This window comes from Homo sapiens, chromosome 4 (assembly GCF_000001405.40).
Source record: "Homo sapiens chromosome 4, GRCh38.p14 Primary Assembly".
NCBI lineage: Eukaryota > Metazoa > Chordata > Mammalia > Primates > Hominidae > Homo > Homo sapiens.
Genome location: NC_000004.12, coordinates 177,803,075 through 177,825,482, shown reverse-complemented (window position 1 = coordinate 177,825,482; position 22,408 = coordinate 177,803,075). Strand labels below are relative to the sequence as shown.

At 36.8% G+C, this 22,408-nt stretch overlaps 2 long non-coding RNA genes across 2 annotated transcripts in view; one reads left to right on the top strand and one right to left on the bottom strand.

The window, feature by feature from the left end:
- The window catches only part of LINC01099 (long intergenic non-protein coding RNA 1099), a 95,891-nt gene extending 82,454 nt beyond the window's left edge, over positions 1–13,437 (top strand). The window contains exon 2 of the long non-coding RNA NR_108092.1: positions 12,425–13,437. This is a non-coding gene — a long non-coding RNA (long intergenic non-protein coding RNA 1099). The remainder of the gene's footprint in view (positions 1–12,424) is intronic.
- Positions 1–22,408, bottom strand: part of LINC01098 (long intergenic non-protein coding RNA 1098) — a 261,994-nt gene that overhangs the window by 165,268 nt on the left and 74,318 nt on the right.

The window sequence follows — 22,408 nt, the reverse complement described above, 5'->3', positions numbered from 1 at the left end:
AAGTTTACTAAACATTTCTTATTCTATGTGTAATATATTTCTGCATTTTCTACTGTATTTTTATCTATTCTAATTTCATATTTCATTTTTAAAATTACCTTCCAACATAATAAAGTAATTGTATGATGCATAAATGATTTCAAAATCGTATTTTACAAAGCACTGTAGTAGGTATATATATAGGAAAGGCGTATTTGTTTTTAAAGGGAGCAAACAATACCAAGAAAATAAATTTCATCTGTGAATCTGAAGAAAGAATTCTACATGTGAACCTCTCTGCATCTCCACCATCCTAAATCTTTTACATAAGTAAATAACAAAGGATGATGTGTTATATGTCTGTGGTTATGTCAAGCTTTCAAGTACAGGTTTTGTTTGGTGAACTTACACATAAATTCAGGTCAAGGAATCACAGAATCCAATATACTCAGGCTTTTTAGCTCATTACTTACCATTTAATTACCTCTGAATAATGTATAAACACTTTACATCTTTATTTTATTCCACATTTTTAAGAAACAAAGCAATGGAAACGATGTTTTCAACACCACTGGTACTGTAGGGCAAGGACAAGGTGTAGGCTTGACTGTTGGATGAAGTCTCCTCTGGCTTTTTTGGTGGCTCTGAGTGGGAAGCATTCTCTGCAAAAACCTATGCAGTGTTTTAGGTACCATAAGCACAAAATCCACAGGCCTTGAAAGTTGAACTGCTGAAGTCAAAACAATCATCATCTGGACTTGCCTGAAGCATCTATTTTTTTAAAAAACTCTAATGACAAAAATTATTTTAAAATCTGAAATGGCATATCCCCACAAATATTGACAGTACAGAGATAATTGAGATACAGGAAAAAAAAACGTTTTTTGACTCTAGAATAAGCTGTAGGGGAAGAGGTCAAGTGTTGGAGAGAAGCCACACTATTTCTTTTTAAATCAAATTCATTGTATGTTTGTAGAGCCAGACAGACCTTTCATCCAGGAACAAAGAATCATTTCGAAGGGCTATGTGTATTCATCTCTGGGAGACATTCACTGACCCACGATGATAATCTCAAGATTTAGTAGGGGAAAAATGAGCTTTCTGAACATGTTTATCAATATATTATGAGTTGTGTCACTGGGATTATTATTTTATAAATTGGCAAGTTGTTACAATTTGGTAAATATGGAATAATTTTCAGAAATTAAAATTTTTACTGTCATATTCTTTTGTCTGTTTTAAAAAGTAGAAGGTAGCATACATATAAAAACAATGGAAGAATATATGTTTAAATGATAAAATAAGATAAAACATGTAATGAGCCCACAAAACCACAAACGCAGTCATAGATACACATACAGTAAATATGATTACACAAAGTATATTGGGATTTTAATGAATATAGATTTAAATTTTTGGACATTATGAAAATGAGTCATTAAAATTAGAAAACATTTCAGTTGTCACCAAAAGCCATCACCCATACAGATCAATCGGCAAACAAAACCAAATAAACATCTATTTCTTTAGCTACACTCAAGCAGCGAATTATCCCATGGACAGTTACATAGGGAACAGACAGACAATCTCACCATAAACATTTTCACAGAAGATTTAAAACAGCAACAAAAACAAAACACTTCTTTCAGCTAGCCCTTCTGGTGATGGACTGTGTACGTATTCATGACAGCATTTGTGTTTTTGTGGGCCCATTCCATAAATTTTGTTCTATTTTACTATTTATAAATGATCCTCTATAAAAAGAGAGAAAAAAAGTACCAAGTGGCACAGGTGCTTCAGTTTCCAGCAATTTATATATTGATTTACATCTTTTAAAAATTTGATAGAGTTTTCTATATATTAGATTATTGCACCCAAATATGCAGTCTTGAAATTTAACACCCAATTTGACTGATAATCTAATCTGCCAAACAATGACCTTGGTAATACTCCAGAAAACAAATTGATATTATGCAAAACTTTGGGCCTCAGAGTTAAAGGGATAAGGCTTTTATGGATTTCCTTAAATTAGTTTTACCTGATGATGAAACAAAAGCTATGTGAGACCACAGAAGATGACTCTCATCTAAATGACATCAGGAAGACCCCTTTCTCCTTACTCACTGATTGATGCCTAAAAATTCCAAATTTATGCCATTTTCTTGGATTCACTTATTTTTAATTCCAGGTAAATCTAAGACGATTAACGCTTTCAGATGGTATTTGACATTAAACCTCACGTGATTTTTTGACCCTCTCCTGAAAGAAAATTGAATTGGGGGAGGAGAATGGACCATAAGGTCCTCTATGTCCTGAGAGGAACGTAAAAGAAGTTCTTCCAAGTGTTCAAATGGAAAGTCTGCATATTCACCATGAAACCCAGTGCTTGGTGATTTTGCTGAGAATTCCCTAGGTAAAATTTTGAATTCTTGAGGAAATTAAAAGATTTTAAAATCTCAAAGAATTTGTTAAATCTTTTGAAGTTCAATATGACATAATTCAGAAGGATGACATGTACCTCCACTGTGGTACATAGTTGCAACACTCCTTTCCACTAGCTGTTATACAGTGGAATGAATGTGATACATCTGCTTTTCCAAAAGTAAACTTAGAGAATCAGGCAGGGACAAATGTCAAGAAGACATAATCAAGTGTATTGTGGATTATGCTTATCTCTGACTTTTATTGCCTTTGGGAAGAGGAAATTCTGTTAGAATAACACATCTGTTCTTCCTGCCCCAATTGTTTTTTATTTGTTTGTTTGTTTTTGGAGATAGAGTCTCGCTCTGTCGCCCAGGTTTGAGTGCAGTGGCTCGATCTCGGCTCACTGCAACTTCCGCCTCCCGGCTTCAAGCGATTCTCCTGCCTCAGCCTCCTGAGTAGCTGGGACTACAGGCGCGTGCCACCACGCCTGGCTAATTTTTTGTATTTTAGTAGAGACGGGGTTTTACCGTGTTGCCCAAGCTGGTCTGGAACTCCTGAGCTCAGGCTCCGCCCTCCTCGACATCCCACAATGCCAGGATTACAGGTGTGAGCCACCACCCCCGTCCCGTGAGAGAACACATCACACTTGTTTTGGAGTATTATTAGGGTCATTTGTTAGCTAATTAGATACATAATGTAACTCATCTTCTTTTATTTGGGATAGCTCTACTTACAGCAACACCTGCCCCATACAGCTATGTCATGGCTGTTCCTAAGGCTTTGCATCTAGGGTAAGGAGGAGAGAGTCCTGACATGTTCCAAGCCCCATCTGAGGCTGGAGGGGCCATTCCCTGTATTACCATGGTTATGTACTAGGTAGCCCATTAATTCCAAATACATGGGGATCATCTTCCAACCCAGACTTTATCTGCAATATAGCAATTTGCTGGATTCTTGTCCATTTCTTAGTTGATCCAAATTTGGGTAGAAAATATGAGTGTCAAACCCACACTGAGACTCTTTAGTATTTGACAATGAGTGGAATTTGGGATTGAAATAACCAACAGAGATGCTTTTGATGGTTCCAGGACTGGTCACTATAGACGCCAGTTTTCGCGGCAGGATCCTGAGGCATTTGAACTTGCAGTCACTGAAGCATGAGGCAGTCTTCTCCAAGATAAAAGCCTGTGTTTCTACAGGTGAATGGTTGTTTCATGTCAGCAGGCACAAAGGTTTTGCCACCTAACAAGAGGTAGATTAGCAACCCACACACAAGCCAGTTTTACATAACCTATTCTATAGCAGATCTTGAAATGCATGGACCAAGCGTCATTAAAAAGTGGCACATTCAGTAAAATTGCACTTAAAGAGACTTTTAGTCCCATTAAAAGGTCTCCATGAAAGGAAGACAATGATAGTGCTTACTTTACTGTGGTTTTTCTCGTGGGCAACTCCTGGAGGGCTAATAGAACAAAGCTATTTAAATAACAGAATCTGGAAAGAAACAGTCAAGTTCAAATTCCAGTGCTGCCATTTTGAACTGTGAAATTATTATTAGAACTTTTCTATTTTATTTTCCTCATCTATGAATTAAAATGATAATATTAAATATCTCCTAGGATTGCTTTAGGTGAAACCAGTTAGCTACATACGTACTCTGACAAATAGGAAGCCTTCAGTAAGTGCAAGCTATTACTATTTTATTTACCCTAGAGAGGAAAAGTTCTAGTTTAAACCCTTCATGTTAAGAAAAACTATACAGTTCTAGAATTATATAGAACCTCTGCCACATTCTTGAAGACATTCAGAATTGTCTTCAAGGCCACTAGACAGCAACATTGAAGGACAAACTCTGAATTCAAGTAGAATGTCCTTTAGCCACTATCTTCTACATGCTCTTGAGTTAGCTTTCAATTTGCTAATTCTGTAAATTATGTTCCTGAGCTAAGATCTCAGGACCCAAACTATGTATTAATCCAAAGAAAAGCAATGGTCTTCTTAACGGGATAGGAAGAAATAGGAAGTATCTAATACTAGTTAGGTCGTAGATACATCTGAAAGAACAATACTCCTATGGTTACAGAAAAGCAAAACCCAGACAAAATAAGTTTATATATTCTTATGGAGACAGTAAAAGGTAGCAGATAAAAATAAGCCTTGGTGCACTAAATTCCAGAGAAAAAATATCTCTTCATAAGGAAACAGAGAACCAAGAAAGATTCCACACCTGGGAGTTTGTGTGAGTATCTGATAATGGATGTACCAGACTGAGATAACAGTAATAATATGAAATCAATCAAGCCTTAGAAGATAGTGTGGGATGGCAAGATAAACTGGAATCGGAAGAAATGTAAATCCAAAAATAAAACATTCAGTATAGCAAGTCTCACACACACACACACACACACACACACACACACACACACACTGCTAAAATTATGACTAGAAAGCATCAGTGGAAAAGAAATGGTAAGTAAATTATGTCACAGACATTCTCACAGTGGTTGAATCCAGGGGCCGTATCAGAATAAAACCCGAAAAATATCTAAAATAGTAGTCAACCCATCCCAGGTTAAATATTTGCACATTTTTAAATGTGAAAGCTTGGGAGAGTGGAATTGGGACTACTCACAGGTGAATTCATCTAATTAAAGGTACAGATGAGACCTATTCTACTTACCATAAATGCCAGACAATATATAGAAAAAAAGAGTTGTAGTCTCTGGGAAAATGAAAAAAATGAGACAAAAATATTACACTTATTATTTTATATGTAATATCTAGATTCTTTAAATTAAGAGTTATGCAGAAAAGCAGAACAATATGTCTCATAATGAAAGAAAAAGCAGTCAATAGAAGCAGAATTATAGATGACAAAATTATTGGAATTAGCAGATAAAAACCTTTAATATTATAAATTTTTTTAAAGAATTTACAGAAAAAGATATAAAAGGGTAAGGAGACAGTTTATTTCAGAAGAGAAATAAAAGAACCAGAAGAACTTTCTAGAAAAAAAAAAAACAATTTGTGAATAAAACTACACTGGATAAATTTCAACAAATTAGACATGGCAGAAACACGGATAAATTAACTTGATAACAGGTTAATAGAATTGTGTCCATTTAATCAGAGAAAAAAGTTCGAAAAAACATGAATTAAACATTTACTACCTGTGAGAAAATATCATCTAATATTTAGTCCTAGAATGATATTTCATTCTAGGGTGATATTTCTTATTTATAAAAAAGCATTTGGAAAATATGATAAAATTGTTATCAATCTGAAGAAGACATCAAGCCACATAGTAAGGAGCATAAATGGTCCCAAAAAGGCCATAAATAAAAATAAAAGCACAAAGAGAGATCACTATTAAAGTGTTGGAAATGAAAGATAAACAGATACTTTTAAGCAGTGAAATAAGACACAATACATACAGTGGGACAAGGAAAATGATGGCTGACTTCTTATCCAAAAACAATCACACCAGCTGGGCACAGTGGCTCACCTCTGTAATCCTAGCACTTTGGGAGGTTGAGGCAGGCGGATCACTAGTGAAATTATCATGCAACAGTGAACTCAAACAAACGCAGAGAAAAAAAGTGAACCATGGAAACACTACAAAGTGATACAGAAAATGGCTACACCTGGAAATTCATATCAACAAAAAAGAATAGTGTCAGAAGTGATGACATATGGATATTTAAAAAAAACTGCATCCTTCTACTTAGTTAAATACCATTGAGTATTTTATTTTATTTATTTATTTATTTGCGACTGAGTCTTGCTCTGTCGCCCAGGCTGGAGTACAATGGCGCATCTTTGCTCACTGCAACCTCTGCCTCCTGGGTTCAAGCAAGTCTCCTGCCTCAGCCTCTGGAGTAGCTGGAAATACAGGCTTCTGCTACCATGCCAAGCTAATGTTTGTATTTTTAGTAGACATGGGGTTTCACCATGTTGGACAGGCTAGTCTTCAACTCCTAACCTCAGGTGACCCACCCACCTTGGGCTCCCAAAGTGCTGGGATTACAGGCATGAGCCACCATGCCCGGCCACCACTGGGTCTTTAAAGCAAAAAATAATAGCAAAGATTGTGAGGCTTGTAACATATATAGAAGTAAATATATGATAAAACAAAGGACTGAAAAATTTTACTTCTATAATTTATTTAATGTAAAATGATAGAAAATCAATTAAAAGATATATTGAAACCCTAGAGCAACTATTAAGAAGTAAAACAAGGACTTTTTTTTTAATGGAGTCCTCCTCTGTTGCCCAAGTTGGAGTACAGTGGCACAATCTTGGCTCACTGCAACCTCTGCCTCCCAGATTCAAGCGATTCTTCTGCCTCAGCCTCCTGAATAGCTGGGATTACAGGTGCCCACCACCAGGCCCAGCTATTTTTTTTTGTATTTTTAGTAGAGACAGGGTTTCCCCATGTTGGCCAGGCTGCTCTCCAACTCCTGACCTCAAGTGATCCACCGGCCTTGGCATCCCCAAGTGCTGGGATTACAGGCATGACTCACCGCACACGGCCACAAGGACATATTTCTGAAGACTAATTTGAGACAAATTAAAATACTAAAAAGAAAAAAAAGAAAAGAAATATTAATATCAAAAATGGTAGGAAATAAGGAATAAATGAACAAATAAGAGATGTAATAATCTGGCCAGTTGTGGTGGCCCACACCTGTAATCCCAGCATTTTGGGAGGCCAAAGCTGGAGGATCACTTGAGGCAAAAAGTTTGAGACCAGCCTGGACAACAGAGACTCCATCTCTAAAAAACTTTTAAAATGAGCTGAGCATGGTGACGCATGCCTGTGGTTCCAGCTACTCGGAAGGCTGAGGTGGAAGGATTGCTTGAGCCTGGGAGGTTGAGGCTGCAGTGAGCCCCTGAACTCCAACCTGAGCTACAGAGTAAGACTCTCTTGATGTAAGATTTTTACCCAATCATATCAATAATTACATTTGATGTGAATAAGCTAAACATTTTAAGAGATTTCTAGGTTGTTTGAAAAGATCCACTGACATACTGTTTACAGAATATTAAAGCCTTTATATATAATGTGTTTATATGTGTATGTATGTAGATACAATGTATCTTTGATCCAATATAATAGATAGGAATGTAATGATATCAAGGATTTGAAGGTAGGAGACATGTTTTTACTGGACATGAAGAAGCATATTTCAAAAAGATAAAAATATCAATATCAAAAAAACAAATCCTACAGCCGGGTGCAGTGGCTCCCACCTGTAATCCCAGCACTTTGGGAAGCCGAGGCGGGTGGATCACCTGAGGTCAGGAGTTCAAGACCAGCCTGTCCAACATGGTGAAACCCTGTCTCTAATCGAAATACAAAAATTAGCCAGGCATAGCGGCAGGCACCTGTAGTCCTAGGTACTCGGGAGGTGGAAGCGGGAGAATCGCTTGAACCCAGGAGGCAGAGGTTGCAGTAAGCCGAGATCACACAACTGCACTGCAGCCTAAAGGGAGCGAGACTCCATTTCAAAAAGGAATTCTAAATATTCATGCTACTATAACAAGGTTTTTAATAACAGATTTAAGAGACAGACTCATGGAATTCTAGATTTTAAGATTCCACTCACGAGATTTTAAAAGGATATAGAAGATTTGAATAATATTCTTAGCAACCTAACCTACTGAGTTTTATTGAACTGTATAATCACAATTGCAGAATACACTTATGAAGTACACATGGTATATTCACAAAGAGAGAAAAATGCCAGGTTGTAAAATAAACCAATAGATGTTAAAAAATTGAAATCATACTGAATATGTTCTCTGATCGTAACAGAACTCAATTAGAAATAGCAAAAAATAACTAAAAAATACTCCCTAAAAGGTGACCACAATCTTCTAAATAACCGATTGATCAAAGAACTCAGAGAAATAATATATTTCCAAATTAGTGATAATGAAAACACTATCAAAATTTGTGGGATGCAAGTAAGGTGCCCTTAGAGAGAAATTTATAACTTTAAATGTCTGTTGTTACAAAAAGCAAAAAACGAAGCTTCTACCTTAGAACCAAAGAAAAGAAAATACAAGTTGGTAGAATAAAGGAAAGGATTTTTTTTTATTTAAAGCTTAAGAACAGGCAAAGATAATGTATTGTGATTTAAAATCAGAACTTCCAATTCACTTTAGAAGTCTGGGGACAAAATTGACCAGAAAAGAGTACAGTGGATGTGCTGGAAATATTCTCTATTATTTTTCAAGTATGAGTTTCAAGTATGGGTTATACCTTTTCAAATTCACTAAAAATTTACTTTTAAACATTGTACTTTTATGCAAATCATATCTCAATACAAAATTTAAAAGTAGTAGACACTTATTACAAACAAATATATATACCATTTTTCTGAATTAAGGTAGTTAAATAATTCAATAAATTTACTGTAAACCCAAAGGCCAAGTACACTATTTTAAAAAGCTGTCGATAGATATTGTCTCTAAGACTCAAGTTTACTTAGAAAATCAAGGAGGAGCTGAATCTGTTGAAAATATGAAATATGAAGACCAATTAAAAAAACGATTTGGCAGAAAGATGAGAAGATATTTATTATAGGAAATGTTGGGACCTTAGACGAAGCTAAATTTAAAAAAAATAGTCATCTTGAAGTTGAAGCTGGAAAAAAAAATGAGTAGTATGACTTCTTAAAAAAGGTATTCTGAAAATAGTTTGTTTTTAGTTCTTATTCCATAGAAATGACTGAAGCAAATAACAACCTGTGAAAGAAAGAATTGATAAGGTAGACTTCTGGCTTCACACGGTGGCTCAGGCTTGTAATCCCAGCACTTTGGGAAGCCAAGGCAGGTGGATTGCTTGAGTCCAGGAGTGTTCGAGACCGGCCTGGCCAACATGGCAAAAACCATGTTCTCCAAAAAATACAAAAATTAGCCAGGCATGGTGGCGCACCTGTGGTCCCAGCTACTCTGAAGGCTGAGGTGGGAGGATCGCTTGACTCTGGGGAATGGAAGTTGCAGTGAGCCAAGATGGCGCCACTGCACTCCAGCCTGGGAGACAGAGTGGGATCCTGCCTCAAAAAGAAAATAACAACAATAAAAAAGAAAAACAGAAAAAAAACATGAAACAAGCAAAAAACGTAGTCTTCATTAAAATTAAAAATATTTGTTTTTTGAAAGCCACTGTCAAGAGAATGAAAAGAAAAGCCACTGAGTGAGAGAAAATATTTGTGACAGACATTTGGTATAGGACTGTTTTCCAAAATATACAAAGAACTCTTAAAATTTAACAAGAAGAAAACCATCCACTTAAAAATGGGCTGAAGCCAACCTCATCAAAGAAGATACAGATGGAAAATAAGAACATGAAGAGTTATTCCACATCATACATCATTAAAGAAATGCAAATTAGAACAAAGAGATACCACTGTGCATTTATTAATACAATGCCAAAAATTCAGAACACTGACAACACCAAATATGGATAAGGATGTGGAAGAACAGGAACTGTCTTTCATTGCTGGTAGGGATTCAAAATAGTAAAAAGGTACAACCACTTAAGAGGGAAGTTCAGCAGTTTCTTACAAAACTATACATATTTTTAAATGTACAATTCGGTAATTTAACTCCTTGGCATTTATCCAAAGGAGCTGAAAATGTATGTCCACACACATACTTGCACATGGCAGCTTTATGCATATTTGCCATATAGCAGCTTTATGCATATTTGCCAAGATTTAGAAGCAATGAAGATGTACTTCTGTAGAGTGGTTAGATAAACAATGGTACATCCAGTGAAATATTATTCACCACTAAAAAAGCTATCAAACCACCAAATAACATGGAGGAACTGTAAGTGAATATTACTAACTGAAAAGAACTGATCCAAAAAGTTTACATATTGTTTGATTTCAACTATATGACACTCTTGAAAAGGCAAAACTGTATAGACAGTAAAAAGATCATCATGCCTGTAATTCCAGCACTTTGGGAGGCCGAGGCAGGTGGATCATGAGGTCAGGAGTTCGAGAGCAGCCTGACCAACATGGTGAAACCCTATCTATACCAAAAATACAAAAATTAGCTGGGTGTGGTGGCATACGCCTGTAATTCCAGCTACTCAGGAGGCAGAGGCAGGAGAATTGCTTGAACCTGGGAGGCGGAGGTCGCAGTGACCTGAGATTGCACCACTGCACTCCAGCCTGGGTGACAGAGCGAGACTCCATCTCAAAAAAAAAAAAAAAAAAAAAAAAAAAAAATTAGTGACATCAGTGGCTGCTGCCAGGGGTTAGGGGAGAGAGAGGGATGAGTAGGCAGTACACAGGAGAATTTTAGGGCAGTGCAAATACCCTGCATGATACTATAATCATGGATACATGCCATTATACATCTGTACAAATCCGTGGAGTAGACAACACCAAAAGTGAACTCTAATGTACACTATGGACTCTGGCTAACGATGTGTCTCAGGTTGATCAATTTTAACAAATGTGCCATTCTGGTGGGGATGTTGATAATAGGGGAGGCTGTGCACGTGTTGGGGAAGGGATATCTCTGCACCTTCTTCTCAATTTTTCTATGAACCTCAAATTGCTCTAAAAGATAAAAGTGTATTTTTTTATGACAAGGATGTCAAGAAACATAGCATAATGCATAGAGAGCAGACCAAGATGATGCATGCAGAGGGATTCAGAATGCAAGACACTGATGTTTTAAAAAGAGGCTTGTATTTAGAGCCATTGGGAAAATGTACCTTATAGATTGGGACAGCTCTACTGTTTATTTAAAATGTGTACAAATTTTAGAAGAGTTTGGAAAGATCAAACTCTCAAAAAATTATTCCATGAGTTTGCGGCGACAGCAATTAAGGGTAGGCATGCTATTTTTGCCTATTCCCTAAGAAAATAACTTGAGAAATTTGAGGAATAAGACCGCTAAAAGAATGCAAATCAAAATGAGCCTCTGAAAGGGGAATCTGGCAGGAAAATAATAGTCCAGGCTTGTTTTTTTGTTGTTGATGGTGGTGTGTTGAAAAACAACTTGTTTTGTGGGGTTACCCATCTCTAGGTTTTGTAGATGAAAGTGAGTAGTTTGAATGATGAGTGAATGGTTTTACTGGGCCCAGAACTCACTGATTTGTAATCAATAAGCATGTAGGTATCCCCATAAGATGTAATATTGTGAATTGTTACTATACCAGAAAGTACAGGAAAAGGAATAGAAGAAACAATTCAGTCCAGAAATCTTATCAACCCCATGCAGCCACTGAAGGAGCTGAACCGAGTTTACAAGGAGGTTTAATGACACTTTCTGGGAAGAAGTAGTGAAATATCCGAAAATGATAAGCGAAGATTACCCTGGGAAGTTGGAGCAGATGTACTTCACTTGCAGGAAAATCAACAGTAGTGTCAGGAGCCTACCGATGATGACCTGATAGCTGACACAAAAATAGGGACATGGAGCCGTTTAGCACAAATGGGTGCTAAAACCATTAGGACTTACGTGGATGGGGTAGATTTTAGAGGACTCAGTAATTCCACACAAAGGAGCAATAGCATCAGCTTCTAACAGATTTTAACATCATGTGTCTCTATGGTTCAGAAATGAAAAGCTCTAAGAGGAAATGGAAATTAAGAGGTTTAACTATGTTCTGTGGGATAAAGGTGGTTTGAAATGAGGCCCAGGTTTGGGCTGCTAGCATCACAAATTTATAACCTTTGCCAGAGAGCGGCAGTGATTGAAATTCCATTAAGAAAGAGAAGATGGGGTACAATGGGTGACTTTTTTCCATATAAATATGCTATTAAAAGTAAACATTTAATGAAGAGTTGTTTCAATTGAGTTATTATGTGGACTGTGAACATACGGCATAGATTGGCCAGCACCCTGGCTAAGAAGATTTTTCCTTCCATTCTCCCTCCTTGAGTAATTGAGTCTTCCCTGCGGTCTTCCATGATCCCAAAGAGTAGTGTTTAGGTAGATGGTTTTATTTTCGGTAACTGATTTTGTTTTCTAAACTTTTACCATACAGGGCCAGTTGGGTTATCCTTCTTGTTTCATTGTTTGTCCTGCTTAAAATTGAGAATGAACAGAGACTCACTGATTTCATCTTCTGAATTTGAAAAGAATGACACACATTGCCCTGCAATTCAGGTCTGACTTCAGCTGCAGGAAGACAGACCCCCAACCCAGAACAACCCTGCGTGGGGAATCCTTCGGGAAAAGGCTAAGCAAAATACAACACTGGAATTTGGGGAGGGGCTTGGAGAGTTTGTTTTTAAAAGTCTTGAGCAATAAATCATCTAACCACAAGAGTAAGAAAATTAGTTTTCAACTTTAATTTCTTTGGTCTTTCAGTTTTAACAGGCACACCTTTAACATTCATTTTCGACCCACTGAAGAGGAGATGAGCTTATTGGCTGGTGCACCTTGACAGCATGTAGGTGGAAAACAGGACATTCAGTCTTTGGTGCAGAGTGGGAGATACTTATGAACCATTTTAGCACATTTCAGGACCATGTAACAAAATCAACACTGCATTGAAGTGGCATCAGGAAGATCCATCCACAGAAGCAATGTCTGCTATGCAGGAAGCAGCTTCATCAAGGTGGAAGCAGGTCTGTGCTTCCAGGCTGGCCAGTATCGTTCATGAAAACAGCACATTGTGGCTGACTATGGTTTGAAGAAACAAAGGAAGCCAAAGAAAACAAAAAATGCTAACGGAGAATTTAATCCATCTCTCAGAGGTGGAAGAAGTTTCATTTGAATTGCTCCCTGTTCTTTTACTCTTCTTTCCCCCGAAAGGGAGTGTGGTAGATTGAGTTTAGAAGACAGCCCTGAACATGTATGGTTCAGCCCTTTTGCTCCATTTTGTCTTGGAGAAGGGCTGGATTCTGTGCTATTCTCCTGTGCTTTAAGTTTTGTAGCTACGGGATTTATCTAACACAGCCTGACTGGTTTGGAAAGTCTGTCTTATTTTGATGTTTTCTGTTACCTAGCCCGCTAACATTTTTTTCAAGAAATATAGCTAGTATTGTCTCCCTCTCTCTGACTCCTATTTCTATTTCTTTGTTGGTTCTAAGCATGGGTGGTCAAGAGATGTATTGATTTATCACGTTCCTTCAAACCCTTACACAGTTGTACTGAAAAAGGATAGGAGTTTTCATTGGGATGGAAGTCCTGTGTGTAGTTACGCAGATTGCCCTCATTCAGACGCTGCTGGGAAAACCATAGATTTTTGTTCCTCTAACAATGTTGTTGTCATCTCTGTACAGGAAGAAACTTAGGATGCTTTATGTGATGATATTGAAATTTTTACAATAGAGACATGCAAATATGGGCAAAACAGTTGCTCAAAAACTGAACACCAATGGAAATGTCATCTCAAACTTTCTGGAATTTTGAATTTCAGTGAGCTATTAGAGAAAGGGAGAGGGAGAGCAAAATACACAGTAAGAAACATTTGCAACAAACTGGGATCTGCTTTTTCCTAAGTTATGTGCTGTCTGCTTAGTAATTTCCATAAGCATCACATCAGTCCGTGATTAAATACATTTCAAATCTCAGAAGCCATACGATTTTTTTTAAAGTCATACAGCTACTGAGGGGCAGAGTTAACATTCAAATCCAGTAATGATCTTTCCATTATTTGATGCAGATGGTAGGAGCATCTCAGAGTCTCTTCAACTTCATGCTCATTTTATCACGGTGTCTTAAGATGAGATTATTTACCTGTCGTTTACGTTTTTCATCCTGATGGCAAATAGTAACAGCTTTTTTTCTTCTCAGAGAATATGCTATTACAAAAGCAAATAAAATATTATAAACATAAAGCAAAAAATGAGGGAGAAGAATGTTCTACTTTAGACAAAATGGCTTTGCTCAAAATTTACACCTAGGTTAGTGGGAATACTGATGGCTGTTTCTTGTCCCTTTTGTTTATTAATGGAATTGGAGTAAGGAGCTACTGGGGAGTTGAGGTGGTCACATTTAGCATATATAGTCTAACCATTTTTAAGTGTTCTTTTTTGTTGTCTTTGCTAGTTTTTTTCTACTTTCTGTTAAATCATTCTCAAGAGATAGTTTTAAACAAGTTAGTCTCAGAGAGATTCCACTATTTTATGTAATTTTTGTCTTTTCATATCACATTAAGATGATGTCCCACTCATGATGTATATTGGATTAACTAAGAACATATGCCATATGGCGTCATTGACAGACAATGTTTATGACAGTTGATTAGTAACCTCACTTCAATTGATGCAGTGTATACACTAATTCCCTTCAGACTCTGAACAGCCAAAAACAGGCAGAAGAAGCAAGGCATTTAACAAAAATTATGAAATTATTCCTCTTAAGAAAAAAAGTCACACGTAGTAATAAAAATTACCATTAACATTTCTCTTATTTGAAGGAAACATATTTTTTGTTTTCTCCATTTTAAATAAAATTCCAATCTCATAGATTGTATGTACATTATAAGAAATTTTTAACCACTCACAGAGCACTCATTTTACATCTCATGTGTTCTGTTAAAGAGAGGAGAAAAGTCAGTCTCACTTCTTTGTCCCCCTTTAACAGCGTAAAGAACCCATGGTGAATTGCACACTGACAGCACAGGAATATCCATTCTGTCATTTCCAGAATATTGACTCACTGCAGTCCTCTAGCCTATGTGCATTCCTGATTCGTGTCCACAGTGCTCCATGACTGTGCCATCCTCCACACGTTCATTTCAAAAAACCCAGTTCTTACAGGCAGGCTTCAAAATTGAAAAGCCAGAAACTTAAGCAAAGAAGAAAAATTTAAGTTGAAAGAACTGTTCATCAAATTCAATGCAATACGAACTCTTTGAGGAGTTATTTTCAACTGCTGTGTTTAAAAATACCACTTTTCCCACAGTTAGTAGTTAGGATTTCATCATAAAATACTCCCATAAAAACTATTTAATTTTCTAGTACAGGGAGGGAGGATTTGATCCCTTGTTAAACATTTTATGGGAAAGTCTAAAAGTGCTTTCAATTATTTATCGAATTGAAATCTAGGCCTTGGAAACTGCTGGCATCACACACACACACATAATATTATCAGCCCACTGAGTGCCATTAGGTCATAAAGCGCTGCTGTAGCAACATCTCTGGTACAGCTGCTGGTGCTCATGCAACTTTTACTACAGTTATAAAGTCATTTATTACATTTTCTTTATGATGCTAATGCATTGCAGTCTGTTACTTTATTGTTCCCAGCGTGATAAAGACTGAAATGTATGATATTGTGCAAAAAAAGTTTACATATATATATATATATACACACACACACAGCCCTACTAACATAGCCTGTTGCATTAAAAAGCTCTTAGATAAACTTAAAAGGTCAATAAAAATATTAGCAGGGAACATCAAAAATGAAATCGTTTTGTGGTACACTTGTGTCATTTTGGTTCATTGTTCCCCATAGAATTGTTTTAAGTCATGCTTTGTCAAAATATCCAAAGGATGATACGAGTATCTTACTAGGTTTGTTTTTTTCATTAGAATGTCATTGTGTTAGAAAATTTTTGCAATTCACTAAGGGGAACAATAACTATGTAATTTCCAAATAATCATATGAAAAGGAACAAAGTCATTAAAAGATAATAATGACCGTGGACCCAGAGGAATCCATAATTGATAATTACATCTTGTTCAAATTGTCTAAACTTAACTCTCCCCATGATACGATTGTACATAAAGAAGATGCAGTTTTCTATTGAGGAAAAATAATCAATTACATCAATTAACTGCTACCCCGTGCTAAAGCTTATTTAGCAGTTGACACCTACAGCACTATAACTTGGAGGGGAAATTCATTCCCAGACCACAGTCCTTTTGGGTGGCTGCTTCTTGGTGTTTGCAGGAGAGCTGCCACTGCTGTTGTTCATTTCTGCTTTTCTGCCTTCACTTTCTCTCGCCCTTTTTGTTTTGTTTTGTTTTGTTTGAGATGGAGTCTCACTCTGTCACCCAGGCTGGAGTGCAGTGGGACGATCTCGGCTCACTGCAACCTCCGCCTCCTGGGTTCACACCATTCTCCTGCCTCAGCCTCCCGAGTAGCTGGGACTACAGGCGCCTGCCACCATGCCCGGCTAATTTTTTGTATTTTTTTTAGTGCAGACGGGGTTTCACCATGTTAGCCAGGATGGTCTCGATCTCCTGACTTCATGATCCGCCTGCCTCAGCCTCCCAAAGTGCAGGGATTACAGGCGTGAGCCACCACTCCCGGCCTCTCTCACTCTTTTAGGAGGGGTGGCAGGGGGAGAAGATTATTCCAAGAATGCGAAGTCCAAGGGAAACAATCCTTTTTAAAATCAGTTATTAAAGCTGGATCTTCTATTTATATATTTTTGTGATATTTGATTTTCCCCAAAAAGCAGTTAGAATCAAGAGTTGTGTAATATTTAAGGAAAAGCTTTACATTGTGTGTTTTTTTAATTCTACTAAATTTTATTCTATTCAATAATTTTATCTAGATAATTTAAATGCATTTACAGTCTACTATTGATAGGGACAGAAGGCAGAGAAATTCTGGGAGGTTGAGTCCCCAGCTAGGGCCCCACCCTCAAGCTGAAAAGCCTGATACCATGGCCCAAAGTGAGAACTTACACCCCTGTTTTCCCACCAGTCATAGCCTGTCCCATCCCCCATTCTGTCCCCATAAAAACCCCAGGCTCAGCTAACAGAGAAGCAGCTGGATGTCAGAGACTATGGTTGGATGTTAGAGAGAAGCAGCTTAACTTCAGAGGGATGTCTTAATGGCATAGCTTTAGGAGAGGAGTCTGGCCAGGAAGCTTGGCTTCAGGGGAAGATTACCTTCCTACTCTGTCCTCTTCTCAGCAACCCTTCCCACTGAGAGCCTCTTGCATCAGCAATAAAATCCCCTACATTTACCATCTTCAATTCATTCATGTGTCCTCATCCCTCCTGGACACCAGACAAGAACTCGGGTGCCATGAGTGTGGGTACAAAAGGCTGTCACACTGACCCTGCACTGAGCTGTTAACAGTTAAACCATCCACAGATAGTAGAGCTAAAAGGACATTGTAACTCTCCTTCTGGGGCTTCAGGGGTCGCAGCATGCCCCCCAGATGCTGCTGCAGGTCCAGAATGTAGTTTGCTCCTGCTGGCTCCCAAAAGCACTCGCCCTGGCCCCTGCACTCACTCACCCACATGCTCCCCTTCTCGCGAGGGGTGGAACACTGTGGGTTCCAATGAGTGGAGTTCACCCCTGTTGGCACCTAAGTGGCCAGCTAGTCCCAGCACCCATGCACTCCAGTTCCCGCCCATGAACGAGTCAGGGAACTTTCCTGCTGCATTATCATCATGGTTTTTTGTTTGTTTCCTTGTTTGTTTGTTTTGAGACAGAGTCTCGCTCTGTTGCCCAGGCTGGAGTGCAGTGGCACGACCTCAGCTCACTGCAAGCTCCGCCTCCCGGGCTCACGCCATTCTCCTGCCTCAGCCTCCCGAGTAGCTGGGACTATAGGCGCCCCCATCACGCCCGGCTAATTTTTTTTTATTTTTAGTAGAGACGGGGTTTCACCATGGTCTGGATCTCCTGACCTCGTGATCCGCCCACCTCGGCCTCCCAAAGTGCTGGAATTACAGGCGTGAGCCACCACGCCCAGCCATTATCATCATGGTTAAGTTAAAAATTGTAAAGTAATAGGCTAGCAAAATTTTAATAATGGGTGTAAGCATTACTATACTACCAAATATGACTTAATAGTGACATTGAATTTGGAGTTGCATAGGCTCTTAGAGTGGTTTACCTTACTCTCTCATTTCACTAAGAACTAAGAAAGTATCAGTAAGATTTTTAAATGTGGCTATGTACTATGTACATCATTTCTCTCAACCTGCTTTTAGTCTCAATGTGAGCACAGAGGCAGAAAAGGAACCATTCTCTTAAAGTCTAGAGCTCCTCACAGCGAAGAAAAGTGAAGTAATTAGAAAGTTTGGCACCTTCTTCTCATGGCTGTAATGTTCAGAAGCAGCACGGTGAGAATGGTTCTTGCGTCTCCAATTGCAATTTGATTATAAACAAAGTAAATTAAGTCTGCTGGCCTTGCATGTTTATCTCAAACCACTGGGATCAGTATTCTAAATTTTGTCTTATAAATTCTTACTCATGAAATACAGGTTGGTGAAAATAAGACAGAACTCTCAACATGAGATCTGCCCTCTTAAGTATTTAAAGTGTACATTATTATTGACTAAAGGTACAAATTTGTACAGCAGATCTCTAGAGCATATTCATCTTGCTTGACTGAAATTGTAAGCCCCTGATTAGGAAGTAACTCCCCATCTCTCCAAACCCCAGCCCCTTGCCACCACCATTCTGCTCTTTGATGCTATGAATTTGAGTATTTTAGATACCTCATTAAAGTGGAATCATGTAGCATTTGTCTTTCTATAACTGGATTATTTCACTTAGCATAATGTCCTCAAGCTTCATCTATGTTATCATATTTGGCAGATTTCCTTTGTTTTAAAGGTTCAAAGGCACACCCCTCTATGCATATGCCCCAGTTTTATATCCGTTTGTCTGGGGACGGGCACTGAGATTGTTTCCACATGTTGGCTATTGCAAATAGTGCTGCCATACACATAAGGGTCTTATAGATCTTCAAGATCCTGATTTCAATGCTTTTGGATAAATATGCAGAAGTGGGGTTACTTGAATCATATAGTAATCCTATTTTTATTTTTTTGAAGAATCTCCACACTGTTTTCTATAACAGTTGTACCACTTTGCATTTCTACCAACTGTGTGCGAGGGTTCCCATTTCTCTACATCCTAGCCAGTACGTTCCCTCTTTTGACAATACATATTTTGACAGCTGAGAGGTGATATTTCATTGCGGTTTGAATTTGCATTTACATGATGATTTAGTGATGTTGAGCACCTTTTCACAGGCCTGTTGGCCATTTTTTCATCTTCTTTGGAGAAATATCTATTAAGTCCTTTACCCTTTTTTTAAGTTGGGTTATTATTTTTTTACTATTGAGTTGTAGGAATTCCTTATATATTTTGGAGATTAACCCCTTATTAGATATATGGTTTGCAAATATTTTCTCTCGTTCCATAAATTGCCTTTTCACTGTCTGATTTACAGACACTCCCTGACTTGTTATGAGGTTATGTCCCAATGAAGCCATCCAAATTGAAAATATCCTAAGTCAAAAATGCATTCAATACCCCAATAAATCGATTGTAAAGTCAAAATTGTAAGTGAAATCATCATAAGCTAGGGGCCATCTGTAGTCCCTTTGCTGTGTAGGAGCTTTTCAATTTGATGTAGTCCCACTGTATTTTTGCTTTTTGTATCTGTGCTTTTGGTGTCATATCCATAAAATCATTGTCAAGACCAATGTCCTGAAGGTGTTTGCCTGTTTTCTTTTAGGAGTTTTACAGTTTCAGGCCTTATGTTTAATTCTTTAATCCATTTTGAGATGAATTTTATGTATGGTGTGAGATATCAATCAAATATCACTCTTTTGCATGTGGATATCCAGATCTCCCAACACCATTTGTTGAAAAGAATACCTTTGCTCATTGTGTATTCTTTGCAACCTTGTCAAAGATCAGTTGACCATATGTGTGTGGGTTTATTTCTGAGCTCTTTATTCTTGTTCCATTTGTCTATGTGTCTGCCTTTAAGCCAGTACCATGCTGTCTTGATTACTATAGATTTGTCATATATTTTGAAATAAGGAACAATAATGCCTCCAGCTCTGTTCTTGTTTCTCCAAATTGATCTGGTTATTTATGGTCTTTCATGGTTCCATATGGATTTTTTAATGTTTTTCTATTTCTATATAAAATGACATTGGGATTTTGATACATATTACATTGAATCTGTAGATTGCTTCGGGTAGTATTAATAATTTAACAATATTGTCTTAATGAATCAGAATCTTTCCATTTTGTGTCTGTTTTAGTTACATTTCATCAAGCTTGTATGTAAGTCAATATCCACTTTTTTTTACACTACTAAGATCATTATTGTAATTTAGGGAACAAAGAAAAATTTATTAGACCATGAATACATTTTAAATAAAATGAGTATCTTAAAAATAAAAAACAGTATGGTTATATTCCTATGTTTTTTTTTTCTGTTAATTACAATTAACTTCACAGAAATATTGTAGAAGAAACACCCAAACACAGGATCTACCACACAAAGTTCCTAAATCACTGTACTTAATAATATTTAAGTCTATCACTAAGCATTAGTGATAAAGTCAAAAGAGAATTCTTGTAACAATGTCATTCTATTTAGGATAAACTCAGTACATTTAATCTTATCAGTATATATTTGATATTTAAATGTAATATATTTACTAGTTTTACATGTAATAGATATTGTTTTCTAAATCACAAAACCAAGGAAAAGAATGACAAGGATTTTCTCAATCTGATGTAAAATGTATAAATTACATATTTGGCATAATAGTTGAACCACACTATTTTTGCCAGTGATTCTCAACCTTCTTTTAGTCCCATAAACATGTGGAAAGTGAGTTAATTTTTTCTCTAGTTATTTGAAGGAATAATACAGAATTATCAAATTTAATTAACTTCATCTCATGACACAAAATTACACCATAAAGCACTTTAAGTAGGGTAAACACACTAAAATGAATACTGCATTGCTCTTAAGTTGTAATACTTTTCTCATTGCTATTCTAATTGGAAAACCTGATTAATTTCACATAGAACATTAGAATGTTTCTGTCTAAGAGCAATTTTCTCTTTGTAAAATCATTACTAGGTTTCATATTAGGGGATAGTTTATTTTCGATGTCGGCATTGAAAAAGTCCAAGCCCCTACCATCAGAGCATAGATCCAAGTCCATAATTTTCCACCCTGAGACTCTTTTACTCAGATATATGGTCTCTATTTTCATCTGGGTGGTGATTAATTTCTTTCTTTTATGGTACTTATAATTTCTCCTTAGATATTTATTTGTTGTTCGCTTCTTTATTATCCATCTTCTTCTCTAAAGTGTAATCAAATCTACCCAAAGGGGTGGGAATTAAGTTTGATTAGGTCATAATTGCATCCCCACTGCCTGACAGATGTCAATTAATTGAATATTGTTTAAATAAATTGAAAGAATAAATCAAAGGATATTCATGTTATTTGCATTTTTTAAAGTATGAATCTTAGAACTTACTGTATTTATAGGTTCAAAAGTACTGTAATTAATATTCAAAAGTTAAATTGGATATGCATTTTACTAGTTTTAAAAGGATAGTTTTCAAAGGCTATTCATTTATATATTGTTGATTTATTTGTGTATAAGTACACATTAAAACACATAGTATATGAATAAAATGAATAAATCTGGAATACATAAATATACTTGTTTCTCATTAAAAAATTCCACTTTATGTGCATTCATTTGATAAAGGAAATATATTACAGGACACTGTAATAAGTCAAAATTGCTATGTTACAAATATTAACATTTTAACCTATAGTATACTCCACTTGTTTCTGCTTATATAAAACAAGGGGTTTTTTTTCTTAATAACAGAAGACATGTTTCATCACACTTATACGCTCTACTTTTTTTTTTTTTTTGGACTGCTAAACTCCAGGGAATGAAGATTCATCTCTCATAGTGGTCTGTTTAGACATAGCCTTGCAAAAAGCAATTGTGTTAGTGAACCAGAAAGTTTGCTCATTGTTTGGGTCAGAGCACATTAACGTGTGTCAAAGCCTTAGAATTAGTGAGGAAAAGCAGCAGCATTAACAGCCTTGGGAACAAACAGGGGTGGAAGCCAGGCAGTGCACTAATTATTTGACAGACTATATATAGATAGTATAAGAAGGTGCCATATACTGTAGATGCAAATAACGATAGATATTGATTTTGGGGGGCTTGGGAAAGGTTGTCTTAAAAAGACATCTTGTTAAAATGAATTTAAGCCGTTTAAACATCTTAAAACACCTTTGATCTAACTCACATATATT